Here is a 26,567-nt window from a genome sequence, read left to right on the forward strand (position 1 = left end):
ATAGAAGAATTGCAGAGTGCAGAGAGTTTCTGCATATTGTTCAATTTACCCTCTCCTGGTGTTAACATCTTACATAACCGTGGTAAATTTGTCAAAACTAAGAAATTAACATTAGCAAAATGTTATTAACTCCAGACTTTACTTGGATTTCACCAGTTTTTTCACTAATGTCCTTTTTTTCTTTTCCAGGCCCTGATCCAGGATCCTACATGACATTGAGTCACCAAAGCTTAATCTTCCAATATGTAACAATTTCTAGGTCTTTCATGATCTTTCATGACCTTGACACAGATGGACACTAATTTTTTTTTTTTTTTTTTTTTTTTGAGACGGAGTTTCACTGTTATCGCCCAGGCTGGAGTGCAATGGTGGGATCTCAGCTCACTGCAACCTCCACCTCCCCAGTTTAAATGATTCTTCTGCCTCCCAAGTAGCTGGGATTACAGGTATCTGCCACCATGCCTGGCTAATTTTTGTATTTGTAGTAAAGACGGGGTTTCACCATGTTGGCCAGGCTGGTCTCGAGCCCCTGACCTCAGGTGATCCACCCGCCTCAGCCTCCCAAAGTGCTGGGATTACAGACGTGAGCCACCACATCAGGCCTAATTTTTAGAAGTCTACTGTAAGGGAAAAAATGAATTCTGTGGTCAATTATTTCTTTTTTCATTTTCTAAACACATCAAGGAAGTACAAATCAAAACCATATTGAGATATCACCTCATTCTTGTTAGAATGGCTATTATCAAAAAGATAAAAGATAGACAAAACGTGTTGACAAGGATGTGGAAAAAAGGTAACCCCTGCACACTATTGATAGGAATGTAAATTAGTACAGCCATTAATAGAAAACAGTATGGAGGTTCTTCAAAAAAAATTAAAATTGAACTATCATATGATCCAGCCATCCCTCTTCTGGGTATATACCCAAAGGAAATAAAATCAGTACCTCATAGAGATACCTGCACTCCCATGTTCATTGCAGCATTATTCACAATAGCCAAGACATGAAAACAATCTGAGTGTTCTTTGATAGATGAATGGATAAAGAAAATGTGATAAACATACACAATGGAATATTATTCAGCCTTATAAAAGAAGGAAATCCTGACATTTGTGGCAACATGGATGAACCTAGGGACATTAAGTGAAATAAACCTGACATAGAAAGACAAATACCACATGATCTCACTCATATGTGGAATACAAAAAAGTTGATCTCATAGAAGTAGAGAGTAGAATTGGTGGTTACTAGAGGTTGGCATGGCTATGGAGGAGGGATGTTGGGGAGATGTTGCTCAATGGGTATGTAATCATAGACAGGAGGAGTAAGTTCGAGAGATCTATAGGACAGTATGGTGACTGTAGTTAATGACGATATGTTGTATTCTTTAAAAAGGCTAAGAAAATGGATGTTAAATGTTGTTATCACAAAAATTATAACTATGTGAGGCAATGAATTTGTTAATTGACCAGGTTGAACCATTCCATAACATATATATATATATACTTCAGAATATCATGTTGTACACAATACATACAATTTTATGTCAATTTTAAAAATAAAGAAATTTGAAAAAATAAAGACTTCCTAGAGACTAGAAGAATATGCTAATATGTTTTATAAACATTCAAGAGGGACCTACAATATGTAGCACTTCCTAAACATTTGGCCACAGAAGACAGGCTTCACAGAGCCTGTCTTGGGACTAGGACTCTGAGGAATCCATAAGGATTTTTATTAGAATAATCTCCTGCCTGCTCTTCCTATCTGTAGTCCTGTATACATTCCTTCCATTCCCCAGTCAACCACTGCAATGAGCTTTCCAAAGTGCAAAACTGCTCCAAAAACTTTATTTAGCTTACCCTCAGTTACAGAACTGGAACTCAAACGCTGCAGCTGTGTGTGTCTTCCTGCAGCCCTCTCTAAACGTTGCTCTCCAGGCACACTAAATGCTCAGGTATCTCCCAAATCTGTCTCTGGCCTTTCAACACTCTCACTTTGCCTTTCCTTCCCCCACCTTTGGTCTATCAAAACCCATGTCATCCTTCAGGTTCATTATAAATGCTACCTCCTCTCTGAATCTTCCCTCCCTCTTCCACTCCTCCAAGCCCAAGCTCAGAACGAATCTCTCCGCTCCTGGTTTTTATAATAATATCAACTTGCATCACCTACAGCATTCATCTCATATTGCCACCTATTAGAGTTAGCTGCATGTGCAGGCCCTGCCCCTGAGTGTGAGCTCCTTGAAGGTAAGAAGTGGACCTTGTTTTTCATTAATAGTGCACTCCTGATTTTGTGCTTTCACAAAATAAGGGCTCATTAAGTGCTTGATGAATGACTGAACAAAACTCTCTAACACTTTATTATTTATTTATTTATTTCAAGACAGTTTGTTGCTCTGTTGTCTAGGCTGGAGTGCAGTGGCATGATCTCAGCTCACTGCAACCTCCACCTCCCAGATTCAAGCAATTCTCATGCCTTAGTCTCCTGAGTAGCCGAGACTACAGGCATGCACCACCACGCCTGGCTAATTTTTGAATTTTTTGTAGAGACGGGGTTTCACCATGTTGGCCAGGCTGGTCTTGAACTCCTGACCTCAAGTGATCTGCCTGCCTCAGCCTCCCAAAGTACTGGGATTACAGGTGTGAGCCACCGTGCCTGGCCAACACTTTACACTTTATAAGTCTCTCATTTGAGTCTCACAATAAGCCTATGAAGAAGGAGTTATAATTATTTCCAGTTTACAGTTGAGGAAACTGAGACACAGATTGGTTAAGTGACTTGCCTGGGTGTCACGTAACTAATTAGATATTGAGCAATATTTCCTGATTCCAGTCAGTAACTGTGTTCCCTTTAACCTCTCCTCATGACCTTCTTGAGTAAGTGAGCGAGTGGACATCAAACATTACGCATCTACCTTGTACTAAGTGAGAACTAGGATATGGGTGACCCAGAAATGAATAAGAATGGAGGAGCATTTATGTTAGAACAGATAAGAGTGTCATCTTTTATAGACAAAAACAGCCTGACCAGTGAAAGGCAGTAAGAAGATAAGAGGATAAGAAATGGCTTAGAGGCAGCAATGATTTGGTGACGACCAGAGGAAGAGAGCTACTGGTTGTCAAAGATCAGGCAAGCTGGGAAGAGCTCTGTCAAACTGGAAATCTGTTCAGAGACAGTGATGAAGCCAACACTCTTTGATTGCCTAAAATTGGCTGTGCAGAAATGGATGGCAATGGAGACCTTTGCTGCTGGGGAGAGAATATACTTTAAATTTAATGAGGACAACTCTAGAAGCCCTGCTGATTCCTGATTGATAAGTACTAAGGCGCCTCACTTAACTTGCAGGCACAGCTGTCTGCACTGAGCTTTGGTTGGGTATTGGGCAGCAGTTCGACCCACAAGGAAATAGTCTCTGCCTTTTTGCCTGTTTGCACTTTCACCTCCTGGATGGCAAGTGGGAAAAGGAGCAAGCCCACAGCCTTGCAACCCCCTGAAAGGTTATTTTGTCCAAGGCAAATGTTGCCTATTGAATTCTCACCAGCCTGATTAGAAAGGATTATTCTGAAGGTCTGTGAAGTATCTAGTAACCAATCTTCCTGAGTTATTTTTGAATAGCTATTGAATGGATAATTTCCATACCCATTATCAAAATGATATGCTGGAGGTGAAATTTAGCTGTATTGTATTTGATCAGTAATTGCAGAAATGTTTCCCTCAGATTTAATGCCTTATTGGCAGCAGGTCTCCCTACAGGCGCAAAAGACTTTGGGATACTTTTTGGTTGACACAAATGCTTTATTATTGCAATATTTTTGTTGCAGTGGGGGGGAAAAACAGGATTTATTTGGGCATCTAAAAATTAACTGGAAGTTTCTTTTTCCACCTCCTGAGAGCAGCATTTGGCAACACAGCATTTTCCACTAGTAAGAGCAAGTGAATAATATATCTCCTCATCACCCAAGCCTCAGTGCTCTGGAACAAGAGCAGACCCCGAGGCTCCCAGTGGCCAGCAAGTCCAGTGACAACACCCATTCATTCAGGTCCCTGTTACCAGAAATAAGTGGACAAGGAAATGAAGGTTGAGAGATTCGACTATGGAATGGTAACTCAATTCCTGAGGTTCACTTCATGCCTCCGCATTGCAAGATTCTAGATCAGCCACTGCCAACAGATATAAAAAGCAAGCCACATAGGTAATTTTTATTTCTCCAGTAGTCTCATTAAAAAGTTAATAAGAAACAGATGAGATCAATTTGAAACTACATTTTATTTAACAGAATATATCTAAAATATTATCACTTTAACATAAAAGCAATATAAAATTATTAATAAGAAAGCACCATCTGTAGTAGATGTGGAGAGGGACTGGCAATGGGCAGGGCCCTAGGACTCCCAAGATTATATGCCCTTTGTCTTCCGCTACCAGAGAGGATAGGGAAGGACCATCAGGTGGGGGCGGGGCTAGGCATGTCTGAGCTCAGACTCTCTTTCCACGTGTCTTGCTATGGCTTCTGTGGGCGATGGGGGTGAGAGTCCCAGGTCACTGGAGTTGTGTACCTAGAAGGACTATGGCTGCTTCTGCTGAGTCATGCAGGTTGTCAGGGAAGTCGGGGAAAGCCGGCAGTCACAGGCCTCACCTAGCTCCCCCTCAAACCAAAGAACTGGTCCCACTCCCACCATGTCCCCAACAGCCCATACAGAACTGGTCCTTTGCTCTATCCCTAGGGAAAAGCTCAGATTGTCCTCACCTTTTATATGGGGCTCTGTCCTCATTCCATCCAATGCAGACCCTATCAAGACTGTCAAATCCAAGCATCAAAATCATCTGCTGACAGTCAGGGCAAGTAACATTGCAAAATAATGATTTATGCAAGACAGGAAAAGGCAGCTCCCCACATCACTTTCAGCAGGAAAAGAAGATAGAAATCCAGGCAGCTATACACCCTCCCAAGTCTAAACCAGAAAGAAGTCCAATCCCTAAATAAACCAAAAACAAGTTCTGAAATTGAGGCAGTAATTAATAGCCTACCAACCAAAAAAAGTCCAGGACTGGATGGATTCACAGCTGAATTCTACCAGAGATACAAAGAGGAGCTGGTACCATTCCTTCTGAAACTATTCCAAACAATAGAAAAAGAGGGAATCCTCCCTAACTCATTTTATGAGGCCAGCATCATCCTGATACCAAAATCTGGCAGAGACACAACAAAAAAAGAAAATTTTTGGCAAATATCGCTGATGAACATCCATGCGAAAATCCTCAATAAAATACTGGCAAACAGAATCCAGCAGCACATCAAAAAGCTTATCCACCATAATCAAGTTGGCTTCATCCCTGGGATGCAAGGCTGGTTCAACATACACAAATCAACAAACATAATCCATCACATAAACAGAACCAATGACAAAAACCACAGGATTATCTCAATAGATGCAGAAAAGGCCTTTGACAAAATTCAACACCCCTGCATGCTAAAAACTCTCAATAAATTAGGTATCTATGGAACGTATCTCAAAATAGTGAGAGTTACTTATGACAGACCCACAGCCAGTATCGTACTGAGTGGGCAAAAACTGGAAGCATTCCCTTTGAAAACAGGCCCAAGACAAGGATGCCCTCTCTCACCACTCCTAATCAACATAGTATTGAAAGTTCTGGCCAGGGCAATCAGGCAAGAGAAATAAATAAAGGCATTCAAATAGGAAGAGAGGAAGTTAAATTGTCTCTGTTTGCAGATGATATGATTGTATATTTAGAAAACCCCATCATCTCAGCCCAAAATCTCCTTAAGCTGATAAACAACTTCAGCAAAGTCTCAGGATAAAAAATCAATGTGCAAAAATCACAAGCATTCCTATACACCAATAACAGACAAACAGAGAGCCAAATCATGAGTGAACTCTCATTCACAATTGCTACAAAGAGAATAAAATACCTAGGAATATAACTTACAAGGGATGTGAAGGACCTCTTCAAAGAGAACTACAAACCGCTGCTCAAGGAAATAAGAGAGGACACAAACAAATGGAAAAACATTCCATGCTCATGCATAGGAAAAATTAATATCATGAAAATGGCCATATTGCCCAAAGTAATTTATAGATTCAATGCTATCCCCATCAAGCTACCACTGACTCTCTTCACAGAATTGGAAAAAACTACTTTAAACTTCATATGGAACCAAAAAAGAGCCTGCATAGCCAAGACAATCCGAGGCAAGAAGAACAAAGTTGGAGGCATCATGCTACCTGACTTCAAACTATACTACAGGCTACAGTAACCAAAACAGTATGGTACTGGTACCAAAACAGATATATAGACCAATGGAACAGAACAGAGGCCTCAGAAATAACACCACACATCTACAACCATCTGTTCTTTGACAAATCTGATACAAACAAGCAATGGGGAAAAGATTCCCTATTTAATAAATGATGTTGGGAAAACTGGCTAGCCATATGTACAAAACTGAAACTGGACCCCTTCCTTACACCTTATACAAAAATCAACTCAAGATGGATCAAAGACTTAAATGTACGATCAAGAACCATAAAAATCCTAGAAGAAATCCTGGGTAATACCATTCACCATTCGTGACATAAGCATGGGCAAAGATTTCAAGTCTAAAACACCAAAGCAATGGCAGCAAAAGCCAAAATTGACAAATGGGATCTAAACTAAAGAGCTTCTGCACAGCAAAAGAAATTATCATCAGAGTGAACAGGTAACCTATAGAATGGTAGAAAATTTTTGCAATCTATCCATCTGACAAAGGGCTAATATCCAGAATCTACAAAGAACTTAAACAAATTTGCAAGAAAAAATCAAACAACCCCATCAAAAAGTGGGCAAAGGATATGAGCAGACACCTCTCAAAAGAAGACATTTATGCAGCCCACCGACATATGAAAAAATGCTCATCATCACTGGTCATCAGAGAAATGCAAATCAAAACCACAATGAGATACCCTCTCATGCCAGTTAGAACGGCGATCATTAAAAAGTCAGGAAACAACAGATGTTGGAGAGAATGTGGAGAAATAGGAACGCTTTTACACTGTTGGTTAGAGTGTAAATTAGTTCAACCATCGTGGAAGACAGTGTGGCAATTCCTCAAGGATCTAGAACCAGAAATACCATTTGACCCAGCAATCCCATTACTGGGCATATACCCAAAGGATTATAAATCTTTCTACTATAAAGACACATGCACATGTACATTTATTGTGGCACTAGTCACAATAGCAAAGACTTGAGATCAACCCAAATGTCCATCAATAATAGACTGGATAAAGAAAATGTGGTATATATACACCATGGAATAATATGCCGCCATAAAAAAGGATGAGTTTGTGTCCTTTGCAGGGCCATGGATGAAGCTGGAAACCATCATTCTCAGCAAAATATCACAAGAACAGAAAACCAAACACTGCATATTCTCACTCATAAGTGGGAGTTGAACAATGAGAACACATGGCCACAGTGACGGGGACATCACACACCAGGGCCTGTCGCGGGGTGGGGGCCTAGGGGAGGGATAACATTAGGAGAAATACCTAATGTAGGTGATGAGTTGATGGGTGCAGCAAACCACTATGGCACATGTATACCTATGTCACAAAACTGCATGTTCTGCACATGTACCCCAGAACTTAAAGTATAATAATAAAAATAAATAAAATAATAAATAAAAGAAAAAGAAAAAAAATAAAAAAGAAATCCAGGCAGCTTCCAAGTTGATATAAGTACACTAAAATCCACCAAGTCATCATACCCATGATTACCTTTCAGTATTGGACACTGCACCCTGGCTAGGCTTGGCTTTCCTACAATGTTTTTGGAACCAAATCCTAGCATAACAACAACAACAGAAAGATGCCTGGCCAGGCATGATGGCTCATGTCTGTGATCTCAGAACTTTGGGAGGCCAAGGCAGGTGGATCACTTGAGGTCGGGAGTTTGAGACCAGGCTGACCAACATGGAGAAACCCTGTCTCTATTAAAAATACAAAATTAGCCCGGCATGGTGGGGCATGCCTGTAATCCCAGCTACTTGGGAGGCTGAGGCAGGAGAATTGCTTGAACCTGGGAGGCAGAGGTTGTGGTGAGCTGAGATCATACCATTGCACTCCAGCCTGGGCAGCAAGAGCAAAACTCCGTCTCAAAACAAACAAAACAAAACAAAACAAAACAAAACAAAACAAAACAAAACACCCAACTAGGTTGGTCATATACTGCCATAATAAAATCCTGAATTGAATAGTATTGAAAATTGGCAGGCAAAATTGATTAATCACAATTAAAGATCTTTTTAGTTACAGAATAATATTGTTATTTTAATTCTCATTGTTGCAATGGGTTTGGACCCATAGCTGTATATCCTAGGCACACTGAAGGAATGTTATTACACAGGGACATTCACGGTGGCAGTGTGGGCTACCATACTTTGGAGAGATATAATTTTGGTACACTGAATTCTCTTTTTTTCTGGTGCTGTGATCTAATCCTATCAGTCTCTAATTGTTTCACATGTATGAGATTTGTCTCTTTGGTAATATGGTTTAATTACCAGATGATAAAAATAATAATTTACATTCTACTGTTTCCCTCTCCTCCCCAACCAAGTCTAGCATAGTGCTGAGGATTTGATGCCATTAATGCTTGTTCACTTGACCTGATTCCAAGTTACTTCAGAAAAAGCTGTAGTAATTCTTCTGGGATACTGACAAGTACTATTGCCTCTTACTCCTCTTCCTGGAATGACTTCACTTGGGTCTTTGAAATGCTGAGCAGCTAATGATGAGTTTCCATGCTGGAGCACAAATGTGAGCAGGTAAAAAACCCAGGCACCTAAATGATTTTGCCTACTTGGCACTAAGAACTGTTGGCCAATTGTTTTCCACTGAATTGATTGAAAGAGCAGTAACATTTTCTACAACGTTGTAGTCTCTTTTCAATTCTTCAAGCATGTTATCAAATGCCTACTATGTGTTAAGCACTGTACTAGGTGCTAGGAATTCAGCGGAGAATAAGACAAGACAGATGATAAATCCCCTGCCTTCAAGTCACCCAAACAATAATGAAGGAGACAGAGAAGCATATAGAAAAGGCACTTACAAAATGGCAAGATAAGTGTTCCAATGGGGGGATATAAATGTACTTTGGAGGAGCACCTAATTCTCACTTGGATGAGATGGGCAGGGTGAAGAAAGTTTCTGTGAGAGGGAGTCTTAAAGAATGAGTAGGAAGGGGTAGAAAGAGAAGAGGCTGATGAAATAACCCAGGTGTGAAATGATGGTGGCCTAAAGTAAGGACGTAGAAGTGAAGACATTGACTAAGACATATTTTATTGAGGTAGGATCAATAGGACTTGTAACAGACCGGTAAAAGAAATAAGAGGAAAGAAGGGATCTCAGGTGACATCCAGGTTTCCGGCATGAGTGATTGCCTGGATAATACAGTCATTACCCGATACAGAGAATCCATGAGAAGAAACAGGTTGATGGGGAGCACTAGTGGAGGAATAAGCTTAGTTTGGGCCTGTATCATTTGAGGCACATCTGGGACAGCCAAATTTCTGGTAGGCAGCTGAACAAATAGACCTCAGGAGAAAGGTCTGGGCTGTTGATACAGCTGGCCTTTCACATCCGTATATTTGACTTTAGTAGAATGTTTTTGTATGCTATTCACCAACAACCCTAAACCACTTAACTTCATTTTTTTTTTCAATACGGCAACTTACTATGTTGCCCAAGCTGTACCTGAGCTCTTGGCCTCAAGCAATCCTCCTACCTTAACCTGCTGAGTAGCTGGGACTATAGGCGCAAGCCACCATGCCTGGCTTCTTTTTTCATATGCCAAATTCAGTGACAAACTAACATTTCACTCTATAGCATGATGGCACTGTTTGCCAGACAATGGTTTCAAAGACCTTGACCTGTATGTTCACTAGTGTCTATTGGGCATATATTGGAATATTTGGTTAAATTTTTTATAAGAATTAATGAAAATCCAGAATTTAGAAAAACGAAAGCATTAATAATGACAAGAAACAGCATCTTAAACTTAAGATAAACACAGAAATCATTGATTGTGCTGTAACGTGGCAAATATTTAGCTTTAAGTAGATGCTCATTGGGCTTACAGTATTTATGTCTTCAATTGTGAAAAAAAGGAATAAAGCTACAGAACATAAATTATGAAAATCTATTTTCGAAAATCATGACTGGAAAGTAAAGTACAGTTGGGGATTTTTACATTACATTTTAGCTCTCTGAGAGTCAGCTGCTTCCCATGTCCTCAATAACATCTGAATCTCTCATTTGACTCTTACATGCTGGACTTTCACATATATTTTCAGGATTGCTTTCTATAGAAAAGCAGGAAGCCACTTGCAGTTGTCTGCATCAAGATGGTAGTTGTGATGGTTAATTTTAGGTGTCAACTTGACTGGGTTGAGATATCCAGATAAAGCATTATTTCTGGATATGTCTGTGAAGGTGGTTCCAGAAGAGATTGGCATTTGAATCAGTGGACTCAGTAAAGATCTACCCTCGCCAATATGAGCAGGCACCATCCAATCGGCTGGGGTCCTGGATAGAACAAAAAGGCAGAGGAAGGGCAAATTCACTCTATCTTCTGGAGCTGGGATATTCATCTTCGCTTGCCTTTGGACATTGGAACTCTAGGTTCTCTGACCTTCAGACTCCAGGACTTACACTATAGAGATACCTCAATTTCTCAGGCTTTCACCTTGGACCAAGAATTACACCATTTGCTTTCTTGGTCCTCAGGCTTTCAGACTCAGACTGAATCACACCATTGGCTTCCCTGATTCTTCAGTTTGCAGATGGCAAACCATGGAACTTTTTGGCCTCTATAATCTCATGAGCTGATTCCCATAAGTTGTCCCTTTTTATACATCTATATCCATCTATCTATGTGTAGATGTCGGCAGATATCCTATTGGTCCTGTTTCTCTGGAGAATCCTGACTAATACAGTAGTTAAACCCTGGCCTAACCATAGCAATTTTCTAAATGTCTCACTGTTTGGTTGTTAGTCTGCTCTCAAGCTGCTACTAAAGATATACCCAAGACTGGGTATTTATGAAGAAAAATAGGTTTAATGGACTCACAGTTCCACATGGTTAAGGAGGCTTCACAATTATGACAGAAGGCAAAAGAGGAGCAAAGCACACCTTACATGGTAGCAGGCAAGAGAGCATGTATAGGGGAACTGCCCTTTATAAAACTGTCAGATCTTGTGAGACTTATTCACTATCACAATTCTTGTGATATTCAGCTTGGGAAAAACCCAATCACATGATTCAATTACCTCCCACCGGTTCCCTCCCATGACACGTGGGGATTATGAGAACTACAATTAAAGATGAGATTTGGGTGGGGACACAGCCAAACCATATCATGGTCTTATCAACATCTTATTCAGCCACTTTCTTTGGTTGACGAAATATATGCAAAAATAATTCATTGTTAAACTTAGTCACTGGGAATATTCTCACTTTTGAAAGCCACACGTTTCTAGATTTCTCCAATTATTTTTCATTTTATACTGCTCAGGATTGAAATGGACAGAGGATTAAGTAAAGTAGTAAAATAAATTAAAACAAAAGAGTAAATGAAAACTATGTTGTAAACCTGCAAAAGAGGCCACAAGAAAACAACTTTTCCGTGATGATAAAGTACTGGGTCTCCTAACATATTTGAACATGCACTTTATGTCCTGGTTGTGACTGATATGTTGAGTGGCAAAGGAAAAGCATAAGCCCATAAAATTTCCCTTTTAAAAATAGAAGTTATGCAGTTTGGCTAAAAGACAGCATTGCCAGGCACCTCCATCTATTTGGAAATTAGTCCCAGCAGGTCATCTATTCTGTTTCTACCATGGGCTGGGAAAAATTTTTTAGTATGTGCTGGGAGTCACCACCTTCAAAATCTTGGAATTTATTTATTTATTTATTTATTTATTTATTTATTTATTTATTTATTTATTTATTGAGACAGAGTTTCACTCCCGTCTCCCAGTTTGGAGTGCAATGGCTCGGCTCACTGCAACCTCCGCCTCCCAGCTCTAGTGATTCTCCTGCCTCAGCCTCCCAAGTAGCTGCATCCAGCTAATTTTAAATCTTGGAACTTATGTAAAATAACATACCTATATACTTTACAAACCAAAGGAATGCATTTAAAACATCATTTATGCTCTGCTTTTTCAAAAGAAATAAAACAAAATGCATGTTTTTATTTTAGATGGTACCTCTTCTGCATATATTAACAGTCTGTTCTCTTCTCCATGCCAATATCTAAGGCAAGGATCAGGTGGTATTTTTTTTTAAAAAGTATTCATGTCCTATTGATGATTTTTAAAAGTTGAATTTCATTTTCCCTTTTCCATTGTGGAATTCACTAAAATATTGCAAACAAAGACGTAGTCATAATCACAGGTGCAATGCTGAGGTCTATTAGTTAAGATGTACCTTAAGACAAACCAGGTCACAGCCTGTTGTGATGGCTTCCTGCTTTTTTGTGAAAGGAAGTACCTAGGATTGTGCATCTCAGAGTGCAATGTGCGTAGAACTCATCCTGGGATCTTGTTAAAAATATATATTCTGATTCTGTGATGCTGATGCTGCTTGTCGACAGCTATGTTTATCCATTCAGGAATCCAAGCTGCCTTCCTTTACAGGATGCAAGATTCATTTGAGAAACAAATGTGTTTGTCCCTCCACGTAAATATTTATTTGGAGAGTATTCATTTTTGTGAAGGGAAGAAAGGAGAACGGAATTTGCTTGTCAAGTATGCAGTTATGTGGTAGGGACTGTTAAACATATTCATTTAATTCTGACAAATACTATGCAAGTTGGGTGGTATTTTCCCACTTTGCCAGTGAGGGGAAAAAATGCTGAGAGTGACGTACTTGTCTAAGGTCAAAGCTTCTCTCCCTTGTATCACCCTGTCCCTAAGATTTCAATCTTATGACAGTGGCCAAAGATGCCATCTAATTCACCTGTTTGTCAATGTAATTTCTGCAGTTCTCAAAAGAAACATAATTCAAGCTAAAATGTTTTACCGCATTACATGAAATGTAATAGAGCCATATGACAGCATAACTTGCTATTTCATACCTCTGAATAGAACACTGATCACTTTGTGTCCCTGAAAATGCAGCAACTGCACGCAGTAACAGCCTGATATCTCACCCTTAAGCGGGAAAGCAGGGGTTATTGTTGTTCTCTGACCCCACCAGGTCTGAGGTGAAGTCACTTTAGTCACTTACCTCTGGCCAGGCCTCCCGAATGCCAAAGAAAGCTAATCTACCAGTTGTTTGATCAAAATGATGCCAATAAATCAGTTGATATTCACCGTTAAACTGTCCTGCCGCTAAAGCTAAGTCAAAAGGACATGGAGATACTGGGTATGAAACACTTCAAACAGGCATTCAAAGAAAACACATTTTCAATTTGTCATGTATCCAAGATGACCCAAGTTCTATCAGTAAACAAGTTTCTTTAAGAAAGAAAAAGGGAGCCGGAGACAGAAGCCAGTATATATAGCCAACATTTCAAAGCAACTTTGTTTCTGCTGGATCAGGAAAACAGATCTCATTCTGCCTGGGAATAAGGGAACTAATAAGAGGTAAACAGTACAATCCAGCTATTCCACCAAATTCAACTCACTGGGCAATTACAGAACACCTGGTACATATACCATTTGGGGTACTGGGGAGACTGAAAGTAGTAGGAATAAGCCCTTCCTTCAAGGCCCTCATAGGCAGGTGCACAAATGATTCCAGCAAGGTCCAGTAAGATAAGGACTAGAAAGAAAATGTCAAGCAAGTCGTATCAAGATTCAGGAGAGGGGAGAGATCATATCCCGTCGGGGGTATCAGGAAAGGCTTAATGGAGAAAGTGGCATTTGAGATGAGCCTTGTAGAATGGGTCAAATTTCCATATGTAGCCCCGAAGTGGGAAGTATCCAGGGAGAAACAGCATAAGCGAGGAAAGGCATAAAAACAGGAAAGTGTAGAATATATTCAGTGGACTCTGGTTTGGCTGGAATGTAGGATATGCTTACTGCACAAATAGTAAAAGGGCAAGACAACGCCTGGCAAGTGGTTGGAAGCTAAATTGTAGAAGACCCTGGCTGGGCGCGGTGGCTCATGCCTGTAATCCCCGCACTTTGGGAGGCTGAGGCAGGCGGATCACCTGAAGCCAGGAGTTCGAGACCAGCCTGACCAAAATAGTGAAACCCTGTCTCTACTAAAAACACAAAAATTAGCCGGGCGTAGTGGCTAACGCCTGTAGTCTCAGCTACAGGCTGAGGCAGGAGAATTGCTTGAATCCGGGGGTGCAGAGGTTGCAGTGAGCCGAGATCGCACCATTGCACTCCAGCCTGGGCAGCAACAGCGAAACTCCGTCTCAAAAAAAAAAAAAAAAAAAAAAGAAGACCCTAAATATCCCATTTTAACAGGGATGCTCTTATTATTAAAGAGAAATACAATGATTTATATGAATCCTAAATTACACTCACAAAAATTACCCACTAAAATATCACCCAGCTTTGGTATAATGCTGTAAAAAAAGCCAAGCCAATGTTGTATGTACAATCTAAAAACTTCAGTATCACCCTATCAGTTATTAAGGCACACTACAAAGCCTGAGTGATAAAAAAAAAACAGTCTAGTATTGACCCGGAAAACAGACCAATAAATTGAGCACTCAGAAACAGTCATACATGCACACACACACACACACACACACACACAGTTTCAGCTATGTATTGCTATGTAACCAACTACCCTTCCCTCTCTTAGTCTATGCATTACAGAGTAGCCAGAATGATCCATTTAAAACTATAAATCAGATTACGTCACTCATGTGCTCAAAATCCTACAATGGCTTCTCAAAACACTCAAAAGAAAATCTAAAGTCCCTGGGATGGCCTATAAAAGGCATTCCATATTCTGGCACTTGGTGCCTCTCCAAACTCATCTTTTAATACTTTCTCCTTTGCTTACTCAGCTCCAGCCACTTCCGTGTCCATCCTTTAACCCACTTATCTATCTCAGGCAACCTACTGTGTCGTAGGCATGAAATACAGTCCCATGTATAGCCAGCCCTGTACAATAAGGCCCACATTCCTAGGCTGACATTCAAGGTCCTTCATGCTCAGGTCCCAGCCTAAGTTTTCCACTCTTATCTCTGACATTCCCTCACTGTGCAACCTATTAGTGCTCTGGTCCTGTTGTTTAAAATTTTTGTGCTTATCAATTTAATACCTTTCTTTTTTCCCCAAAATGAAATTTTATATGGGACCCTAATGTAGAAAATAGATCAAGGCGGAGGTACTTTAGTTGAAATTGTGGTAGGTGTCCTGGGTTTCCTCAAATTTGACTTCCCTCCTTCTCTGCAGTACGCCCTGAAGTAGCTAACAAATTCAATTTGAAAATTATATTTTAGCCAAGCTGAAATACTCTACTTCTTCCAGTGCCTCTGAGCACCCTGTGTCACCCAACCTGAATGTCCTTCATGACCATTTGTCCAAATCCTACCTAGACTCAAGGTTGGCACCAGTCAAATATCACCTCCTCTATGAAGTTTTCTTTGGTCTCATCAGACATGACACTTTTCCCCTCTGAACTTTGTTCATACATCTTCTATGACCCGTACTTCCTCGTTTTCTGTATTAGGGAGACTGGCTTATAAATTGTTAATCTTACTAGGCTGAAAGCTTCTTTTTAACAAGTGGGCAGCTAGTGTTTGCTGAGTGAATGATTCATCTTTGTAGCCCCAATAGTCCTAGTGCAATGTCTTGTACCCAGTAGGTGCTCAATACACATTTGTTTGTTGGATGAATGAATGGGTGAGTGAATGAATGAGTTTTCTACATTATATGAAGCAAAACCAATTTTTGGTTGAGCTTATATAGCTTGTTGTTTGTTTCTTCCTTTTTATGGTCATAAAAACAGACAATGCATCCAGTCCCCTGTGGCTCCTGAAGACTTCAGTAAGCTGCCAAATAACATTACTGAATTTATTATTGCATTAATGAAAAGCTTATAGCAAAATTATCCTAGTGAGGAAATGATCCTTTTGGCGACTTCAATTTTAACTGTTGAGGCAACATTAGTTTTAAATGAAATAAAACATCTCATTGTGTAGACTTCTCACAGCTGATAAATATGCCAGAAGGAGTTTGTCCCAGGGTACCTTGCAATAGATGCAAATAGGAAGAAACTCACCATGGCAAACTGAAGAAAAGGGAGGCATGCTGTGTGACCTTAGAAAAGTCTCTCTCCCTCTTGGGGCCTCCATTTCTCAGTTTTATAGTGTGTAAGTGGAGTTTCATTTCAACGATCTCCAAGTTTCCCTCCAGCCCAAACCATCTATGGTTCTTTCAGATTTTAAGCAGGATACCAGTTTCCACTGGACAGAGTCTCAGATAGCTACCCCCCTTAAGAAGATGACATTTGGTCCCAATCTTTATTGAGGACCCATTTGTAGTAATGCTGCTAGGTCTGAGGGACATAGCTAGTTTTGAACCTGTCCCTTGCCAATGACCCACTAAATATATTTCCACAGCAGGATACATTCCTTACTAGAGATCTGTCTACAAAAGAAGAGCCATGTTCACAAGCCATTCTACTGGATAAGTCACACCACTTGCCCCCAAATATCCAAGTGATTAAAAGATGTGGGACCACTAGCCACAGCCGGTACCTGTTGCCACACTCAATCATTGGGTTGTCTCAACCACATACTGCAGAAGCAAGAGACCTTGCTACATTCCATGATCCGTGGACACCATTATCTCCTGGAGCCTGTGCCAGGGATCTGCGGGCAGTTGTTTGTCATTGCTCAGTGGGTGAAGCTGCCTCCCCACATTTGCATCTCCTTTCCCTACACAGGTATAAGGAGTCCATTCTCTGAGCGCCATGCCTGAAAGCTCCACAGTGAGTCTGGCTGAAGTAGTACCTTTGTTCTCAGCAACTTATATCTATTCCTATCATTGGCACCAGAGAAATAGTAAACTTTCTGTTCAAGCAGTGTAGCAGGCATGGCTCTGCACCCAATAGACATGGGTTTGAAACCTAGTTTCATCAGTAACTAACTGCGTGACCCTCATCAAGTTACTTTCCTTCTCTGACCTTCAGTTTCCTCACATGTGAAATGTGGATGATCTTTTTTAATTTAAAATTTTAAACCCGTTTTATTGAAGTATGATTGACAAATAAAACATTTTTTTTTTTTTGAGATGGAGTTTCACTCTTGTCACCCAGGCTGGAGTGCAATGGTGTGATCTCGCCTCACTGCAACCTCCGCCTCCCAGGTTCAAGTGATTCTCCTGCCTCAGCCTCCCGAGTAGCTGGGATTACAGGCATCTGCCACCATGCCTGGCTAATTTTTGTATTTTTAGTAGAGACAGGGTCCCCATGTTGGCCAGGCTGGTCTCGAACTCCTGACCTCAAGAGATCTGCCCGCCTCGGCCTCCCAAAGTGCTAGGATTACAGGCATGAACCATCGTGCCCAGCCAAATTTTTTTTTAACTTTTAGCTTAGGTAGGTTCAGGGGTACATGTGCAAGTTTGTTATAAAGGTAAACTGCATGTCATGGGGGTTTTTTGTGTGAAAAATTTTGTCACCAAGGTAATAAGCATAGCACTTCATAAGTAGTTTTTTGATCCTCTTCCTCCTCCCAACCTCTACCCTCAAGTAGGCCCTGGTGTCTGTTGTTCCCTTCTCTGTGTCCATATGTACTCAAAGTTTTTCTCCCACTTATAAGTGAGAACATGTGGTATTTGGTTTTCTGTTTCTGTGTTATTAATAGTTTGCTTAGGATAATGGTCTCCAGCTTCATCCATATTGATACAAAGGGCATGATCTCATTCTTTTTTATGGGTATGTAGTATTCTGTGGTGTATATGTACATTTTCTTTATACATGTGGATGATTAATGGCACCTTCCTCAAAGGATGGATGTAAGGAATCAATGAACTGATGCTTGTAATAAAAAATTTAGAACAGTAACTCACATATAATAATATGTCAACAAATATTTACTATCACCACTACTATTAACAATATAGTTTTCTAAGTACAATGAAGCCCCACTAATTCTGATTAAGGTGTCAGTGAGTAATGTTTGGGAGGTAGAGAGATTCCTGCCATAATTCATTACAAGGATATTAAAATCAGATGTATATAGGGCTTACCATATACCCATTATAAGTATGTTACATACATTAATTCCCACATCAACTCTATGAAGTAGGCATCATTATTACTCTTATTACTGTCATCATATTACAGAAACAAAGAGGTTAAGAAACTTATCCACAGTCACACAGTTAAGTGGAAAAGTTGGGGCATGATTGCAAGTCATCTGGTTTCAGGGCCTGCATACTTAACCCCATTGCTACATTGCCTTTACGTAACTAACTATTGATGATGTGAATGGAAATGCAGCTTTATTACCTCAAACTTAGGGTTGTAACCCTTCCAGTCACTTATGCTATCTTCTCCTGTAACAAATGGGAGCTAATTAATTATAATTAGCACATTATTCATGTGAAATCCTTGCAGGCAAACTGCTTCCACTAGAGGTAGAAAGTGACAAGAAATGTATTTGTTTCCCCTGATGAGAAGGGAAATGTTTCTTCTATCCTGATTCACTGTGGCTGGGCTTATCCAATCCCCCTTTCCATCAATGGTAGACTCCAGCTCAGCACACACAAAAGCAGTGCTTCTATGAGAGATGACTCTTATCTACACACTTAATTAAGACTTGCTCATTAAAGTATTTACGAGATTCTTTGAAGCTGTTTCTTATGCACTTTTCCCCAAAAGCAACCAGTCTGCTCAGTTAATTCAGGAAAGAAATCAAGTTGGGTTTATTTTCATTCAACAAGCAATTACAACATGCCAGGTGCTATTCTAAAAGCTTGACATGCATCATCTCCTTTAATTCCCAATTCACCCCAATAAGTTAGGTCCTATTATTTTTATCTCCACTTTGAAAAAAAAAATTGAAAAGTTGTGACTTTACTAGAAACCACACAGAGAGTAGCAAGGGGGGCCCTTGTCCTTGGTTTTGTGCTTGAGAGGGCTTTGCTCTGGCTGCACTCTAGCTGTGACCCTCCCATAGGGCAAGAAATCTGCAGGGCCAAGGAAAAGTGTCCACCCAGAGACTGGGCTCCTTCTATACGCTTTTAGAGCATAAATACCTGGGACCCCACATTTTCCTGCCCAAATGAGTCCAAACACACTTCCAGGGCTGAGTGGAACTCTTCCTTGTAACCATCCTCTCAAGGGCAAACAGTGACACTGCTAGTGTGAGCATCCCTTGGTCGGAAGGGTGACCAAGGGATGGCTGTTTGTTGGTTTTTTTGATGATTTCTGGATGTGAGAGCTGAGGCTGGCATTTCCATGAAGCCTCCTGTGATGAGGAATAAAATCCAGGGTAAGAAGGGAAGAGAGAGAAGGTACAGGCCAGGGGATTGGGGCAAGGGACCACCTCTCCCCATGTGGCCATGTTCCAGAAGTCCAAAAAGTACAAGAACTTTAAATTTTAGCTTGGCTTTTCAAATTGTTGTGAATGTGCATTTCGAAGGTAAAAAGAACATTTTCTATGTCAGTCTGCCAGTTTGAGCAAACTCTTGTCCTAGCTTTACAGATGTCAGGGTCAGGCTTGCACCCCCATGTCCACCAGACACAACTGTATGCTTCTTTAGGGATCCGTTCAAATCCCACTTCTTCCAGAAAGTTCTTCCAGAGGACACCCACCAGAATTGTTTTTCCTCTCTCCTCTTGTGGCAGCTTTTCTCCTGGCCTGCCTGGCCACACTTATCTAAGCTTCCCTCTGTCTTCCCCATGAGACTGTGGCCTAAGATCAGAGACTCATCCATCTGCTTGCCCCTCAGTGCCCAGTAGAGTGCCTTGCCCAAAATGCATGTCTGAAGATGTTTGTTGATTGAAAATATGAGAAGGGAGAAAAGAGAGGCAGCACTTCTTGGGGAGAAAGGAAAGAATGTAGAGCAATCAGAAAAATCCTTGACATAGGGTCAGGTGAACTCATAAGGGTTTTTCCTTTTGTTGTTGTTGTTTTCTTTTTCTCATGGAAAATTTCCAACATATAAAAAGGTAGAAAATAGTGTGATGGACTTCCGTGGGCCTTTTTCCAGCTTCAGCAATGACAAATGAACTCACAGACCATCTTATTTCATCACTACCCGCACTCACTTCCCCCCATCTCAATCTTGGATTATTTCAAAGCAAACCTGAAACATCATATTATTTCAACTGTAAGTATTTCAGCATGAAAAGAAAGAGCTTGGCCGGGCGCAGTGGCTCACACCTGTAATCCCAACACTTTGTGGGGCCGAGGCGGGAGGATCACCTGAGGTCTGGAGTTTGAGACAAGCCTGGTCAACATGGTGAAACCCTGTCTCTATTAAAAATACAAAAATTAGCTGGGCATGGTGGCGGGTGCCTGTAATCCCAGCTACGTGGGATGCTGAGGCAGGAGAATCCCTTGATCCCAGGAGGCAGAGGTTGCAGTGAGCCGAGATCATGCCACTGCACTCCAGCCTGGGCGACAGAGCGAGACTCCGTCTCAGAAAAATAATAACAATTTTTTTAAAAAAGAAAAGAACAGAAAGGAAAGAGCTTGTTTATCAAGAATTTGGTATCACCAAGCCCAGCGGAGCAACCACTGGAAACTGATATGATCGGAGCAGAATCACTTCTAGCAGCTGCAGAGGCTTGCAGGACAGAAGCTCATGCAAACTGGTAGCCTGTGTGTGAGCAGGAAGGCAGGCTTTCTCCTTCCCACTGTGATCCTCAGGGGCAAGGAGCTGGGGAAGCATGGGGCCCATGGTCGTGGCTTCTCACAGCGCTGGCCATCTTTCTTTGCTCATTTCAAACCCTGCACTTAGTGATTTTAGACACCTTTGTGCACATCCATACTGACTTGTCTTAATTCTGTCAAAGGCTTCTCTTTCTCCCCTGGAGCTGTCTGGGAATTCTGGTTCATTGTTGCTGGCCGTTTTTTACTTCCTTTGTGCTTAACTTGTTGAAATACTAAAGGGGTTGGACAGTGTCAGACAATATGGCCCCCGTCACGCCACATTTTACATTGAAATCATTTTTAAGGGCTTTGCTCCTTGACACAGATGGTCTCCATATCCTAGGAGATGGTCTTTTGGCACGAAAATGAAAAAGCTGTGCCCCCTGTGAATCAAGAAACTTTGCGAGTTTATTCTAGCTCAAGTCAAACGAACACTTCATTGTCTCAGGGCCTCTTAGTTTCTCCTCTTGTAGGGAGCATTTTTGACTCCTCTCGTTAAACACATGGATGAGTTTGCACTCCTCTTTCTCACCTCATGGTGGGCCCCTATTCACACTAAGGCTCCTCCCCTTTTCTAAGACAGAGAATGGCCTTCACCTTTAATACTGACACAGAGGATCAACTGCCTGAAGCCACTCCCTGCTTCTCCAAGCCCTCTCAAGAAAGGTCTATCTGGCTGGGTGCAGTGGCTCATGCCTGTAATCCCAGCACTTTGGGAGGCTGAGGTGGGCGGATCAACTGAGGTCAGGAGTTTGAGACCAGCCTGGCCAACATGGTGAAACCCGGTCTCTACTAAAAATCCAAAAATGAGCCTGGTGTGATGGTGGGTGCCTGTAATCCCAGCTACTCGGGAGGCTGAGGCAGGAGAATTGTTTGAACTCAGGAGGCAGAGGTTGCAGTGAGCAGAGGTCATGCCACTGCACTCCAGCCTGGGTGACAGAGCGAAATTCCGTCTCAAAAAAAAAAAAAAAAAAAAAAAAAGAAGAAGAAAAAGAAAGGTCTATCCTTTCACAGCCTGCTGCTAATTGTTCCATTCTTGCCTGTTTTAGTCCTGTAATTGCCACCACTTGGAAGCCTGAATTTTTCCCCCCTTTTTTCTTGGAGTCATCACTGGAATCACTTTCTTTTTAGTGACCTTTGGGCTTCTTCAGTAATTAATATCTCTCTTACAGTAAGAGATGTAAGCAAATCTATAATCACCCTTCCAATCTCTTTTCCTGACTTGTTTGATACTTCACTGACTCTGATTCTGTGGCGTAGGTAGCATATCACTGTACTCATTCCATTTCACCCTACTTAGTTCCCAGGAAGTCTTTGTTTTCCATCTATCTTATGGATTTTGTACTCACTGGGCCAAACTGACATCAAACACAATTCTCCTAGAAAACACTCCTTTTCCACTTCATTGATGTTTTCCACAGTTCTCCTTCACAGCACATATATCCAATCTGTTCAGTGACTGCAGTACTAAATATTTAGTAGCTATTCTCTTTTTCCTCACTACTAAGTTCCAGGACAGGGATGGCAACTGGGCAATAGTAAGCCCTCAAGAAATATTAGAAAGGAAAGAAATGAATGAATGAACTGTCATTTTTTGACACAGCATTTCACTGTATTGCCAGGCTAAACTACAAGTCCTGGGCTCAAGCAATTCTCCCACCTCAGCCTCCCAAGTAGCTGGCACTTCAGGCACAGGCCACGACGCCTGGCTTGAATGAATATTCCTGAATGAATTTCTGATGGCATTTCTTTTATGGCTTCTAAAATATGGTCTCCTTTTACTCTCTTTCAGTTTGTTTTCTTAATTATTACAAACCAAATCAATTGTTCCTTGGGAAAAACTCTTCTTGCTCCACAATTCCATATATTTCAAGCCAGACACTTTTTTAAAGCTAATATATATATATAATATATATAATCATATATTATAATATATAATGTATAATATCTCTCAAATATATATCTCTCTAATATATACATATTATATTATATATATGCATTTGTCTGTACATGGCTTCTTAAATCTACAATTTTAGGAGATCAGTGGATTTTTGTTTTCATGGGAAATTTTTTTCATCAGGCTTTAATTTGCATCGCCCAAACTACAATGTAAAACATTCTTTATAAAAACGAATCAATATTAAATACTTTTTAGTAGTGTCAGTGACCTTGTAGGTACTGTTACCTGGTGGCAGAAAATATTTAAGTGTGTGTAGGTATGTTAGTGTGTATATGTGTGAGTTGCATTTAAAAATTATGAAAAATACAAGCAAATTCAAGGAGTTGTATGGACCTGGCAGTAAAAGATATTTGAATTTCTCTCTCACTCTGTCTTGTTTTAAGATATTAAGTTGAACCTTCCAAGAATGAGAGATTCCAATAAGAGCAATTCTGATCTCAAAAGCATCTATTTCAAAGGCTTCTGAATAATAAAAACTTTAAGCTTAGATGAATGGAATGCAACCATCGCATTTTATGTTCAAATGTAGTCAGACCTGGATTAAAATGCCAGCTCTGCTAATTGTTAGCTGTATGAGATTGGGAAATTTACTTTACCTGTCTGCACCTCTAATTCTCTCTATTTTCTCATCTGTAAAACAGGATAAACAGAGCTGGATGTGGTGGTGTGCTCCTGTAATCCCAGCTACTACTCAGGAGGCTGCTGAGTTGCTTGAACCTAGGAGTTCGAGACCAGTCTTAGCAACATAGTGGAATTCCATCAAAAAAAAAAAAATCCCAGCTGGGGTGCGGGCTCACTCTTTGTAATCCCAGCACTTTGGGAGGCTGAGGCCGGCAGATCACCTGAGCTCAGGAGTTCAAAACCAGCCTGGCCAAATGGTGAAACCCTATCTCTACTAAAAATACAAAAATGAAGGCCAGGCTCGGTGGCTCACGCCTGTAATCCCAGCACTTTGGGAGGTCGAGGTAGGCGGATCACCTGAGGTCAAGAGTTCAAGACCAGCCAGGCCAACATAGTGAAACCTCGTCTCTACAAAAATACAACTACAACAACAAAAAAATAGCCAGGCATGATGGCGGGTGCCTATAATCCCAACTACTCAGGAGGCTGAGGCAGGAAAATCTCTTGAACCTGGGAGGCAGAGGTTGCAGTGAGCAGAGGTCATGCCATTGCACTCCAGCCTGGGCGACGGAGTGAGACTCCGTCTCAATCAATCAATCAATCAATCAATCAATAAAATACAAAAATGAGCCAGGCGTGGTGGTGCATGCCTGTAGTCCCAGCTACTAGGGAGGCTGAGGTGGGAGGATCACTTGAACCTGGGAGGCGGAGATTGCAGTGAGCCGAGATGGTGCCACTGCACTCCAGCTTGGGTGATAGAGCAAGACCCTGTTTCAAAAGTAAATAAATAAATAAGAAATAAATAAATAAATAAATAAATAAACTAAAAAAAGAAAAAACAGGATAAACAAACTTGTTTATGTTATACGTATCAGTGCACATAAGTGACACACATTAGTATCTGGACTATACAAAGATCTTCTTAAAATCAACTAAAAGAAAACTAACAACCCGGAAGAAATATGGGCAAAGTATATGATGAAGCAACTCAGAGAAAAGGAAACCTGAATGGTAAATAAACACATGAAACAATGTTAACTCTCTGCTATGGTCTGAATGTTTGTGTCCCTCCAAAATTCAAATGTTAAATCTTAATCCCCAATGTGTTGGTATTAGAAGATGGAGACTTTGGGAGGTGACTAGGTCATGAGAGCTTTGGTCAGGAATGTAACGTGTAGTGATCAAGTCAGGGTATTTAGGGTGTCCATCACCTGAATATAATACATTGGTAAGTATAGTCACCCTACTCTGCTATCAAACATTAAATTTATTCCTTCTATCTTGCTTTAGGTTTGTACCCTTTAGCCCACTTTTCATTCTCCCCGAGGTTTCACCATGTTGGCCCGGCTGGTCTTGAACTCTTGATCTGCTGGGTCATGAATGAAACTAGGAACCTTATAAAAGAGACCAGAGGGAGCTAGCTACTCCCTTCCTTCATATGAGTATGCAGCAGCAAGAAGGCACCATCTCCGAAGTAGAGAGCAAGCCCTCACCAGATGCTAAAACTGCCAGCACCTTAATGATGAATTTCCAGCCTCCAGAACTGGGAAAAATAGATTTCTGTTGTTTATAAATTGCCCAGTCTAAGGTATTTTGTTATAGCAGCCTGAACAGACTAAGACACTCTCCCTAGTTACTATGGAAATAAGAATTATGACCATGAAAAATACATGATTGCCCATGATCCAATTGGCAAAAATATTAAAGTCCAGCAATGTAAAATATGGCAAGAAACTATGGAAAACACCGTGGAGATTTCTGAAAGCATTAAAAATAGAATTACCAACTGACCCAGCAATCCCACTCCTGGGTATCTACTCAAAGAATAAGAAGTCAATAAAAAAAATAAGAAGAAGAAGTCGGTATACTGAAGGAGTACTTGCACTTACATTTTTATTGCAGTACTATTCACAATAGCCAAGATATAGAATCAACCTAACTGTTCATCAACAGATGAATGAATAAAGAAATTGGGGTACATAATACACAATGGAGTACTATTCAGCCATAAGAAAGAATGAAATCCTGTCATTTGCAACAACATGGATGGAACTCGAGGTCATTATGTTAAATGAAATAAGCCAGGCACAGAAAGACAAACTTCTCACGTTCTCGCTTATATGTGGGAGCTAAAAAATTTGGACACTTGGAGGTAGAAAGTGGAAAAGTGAGTAACAGATACTGGGAAGGGTGAGTGACAGGGTGAGGGGAAAGGGGAGAATGAAAAGTGGACTAAAGGGTACAAACATAAAGCAAGATAGAAGGAATAAATTTAATGTTTGATAGCAGAGTAGGGTGACTATACTTACCAATGTATTGTATTCAGGTGATAGACACCCTAAATACCCTGACTTGATCACTGCACATTACATACATGTAACAAAAATTTCTTATGTACCCCATCAATCTTCACAAATTTTGTAAAAGGCAAATCCAAACATGCTTTCTTAAAAATCAATCACTAAAATATGACAAGGAGATAGAAAAATAGACTCTTTCATACATTACAGATGGGGGTGTAAATATGAAGTCTGTTTTATCAATATCTAGTGAAGTTGAGGATGTTCATACTACATGATCCAACAATCCCACTTCTTGATATCTACAAGAAGACATGTGCAAGCATGTCCACTATAACATTGTTTATAACAGCAAAGAACTGAAGGCAAAATGCCCACCAAGAGGGAGATGACTAAATAAATTGTAGTATATATACACAATGGAATACTACGTAGCAGTGAATATAAACAAACTAAAGCAACACGCTGTAACATGAATGCATCTCAGAAATCTATCATTGACCCAAAACCTACCTGCAATAGGAGGCACATAGTACGTAAGTAAGCATCTCTATAAAGTTAAAAACATGTTAAAAAATATTATTTCTTTTTTAGAGACTCATACAAATATGTTGTACAAATACATGCCTGCAATAAAATTTTAAAGACCTGAATGGGAATGATAAACACCAAATTCTAGAAAGTGGTTACCTCTGTGGTGTAGGGGGAAAGGAGATCAATGTGATCATGGCGGAGTACACACGGGCTTCAACTACATTTCTTCTGTTATATTTCTTCAGCTGGAAGATGAATACACAATTGTGAATTATGCTATTATC

This window comes from Homo sapiens, chromosome X (genome assembly GCF_000001405.40).
Source record: "Homo sapiens chromosome X, GRCh38.p14 Primary Assembly".
Taxonomy (NCBI): domain Eukaryota; kingdom Metazoa; phylum Chordata; class Mammalia; order Primates; family Hominidae; genus Homo; species Homo sapiens.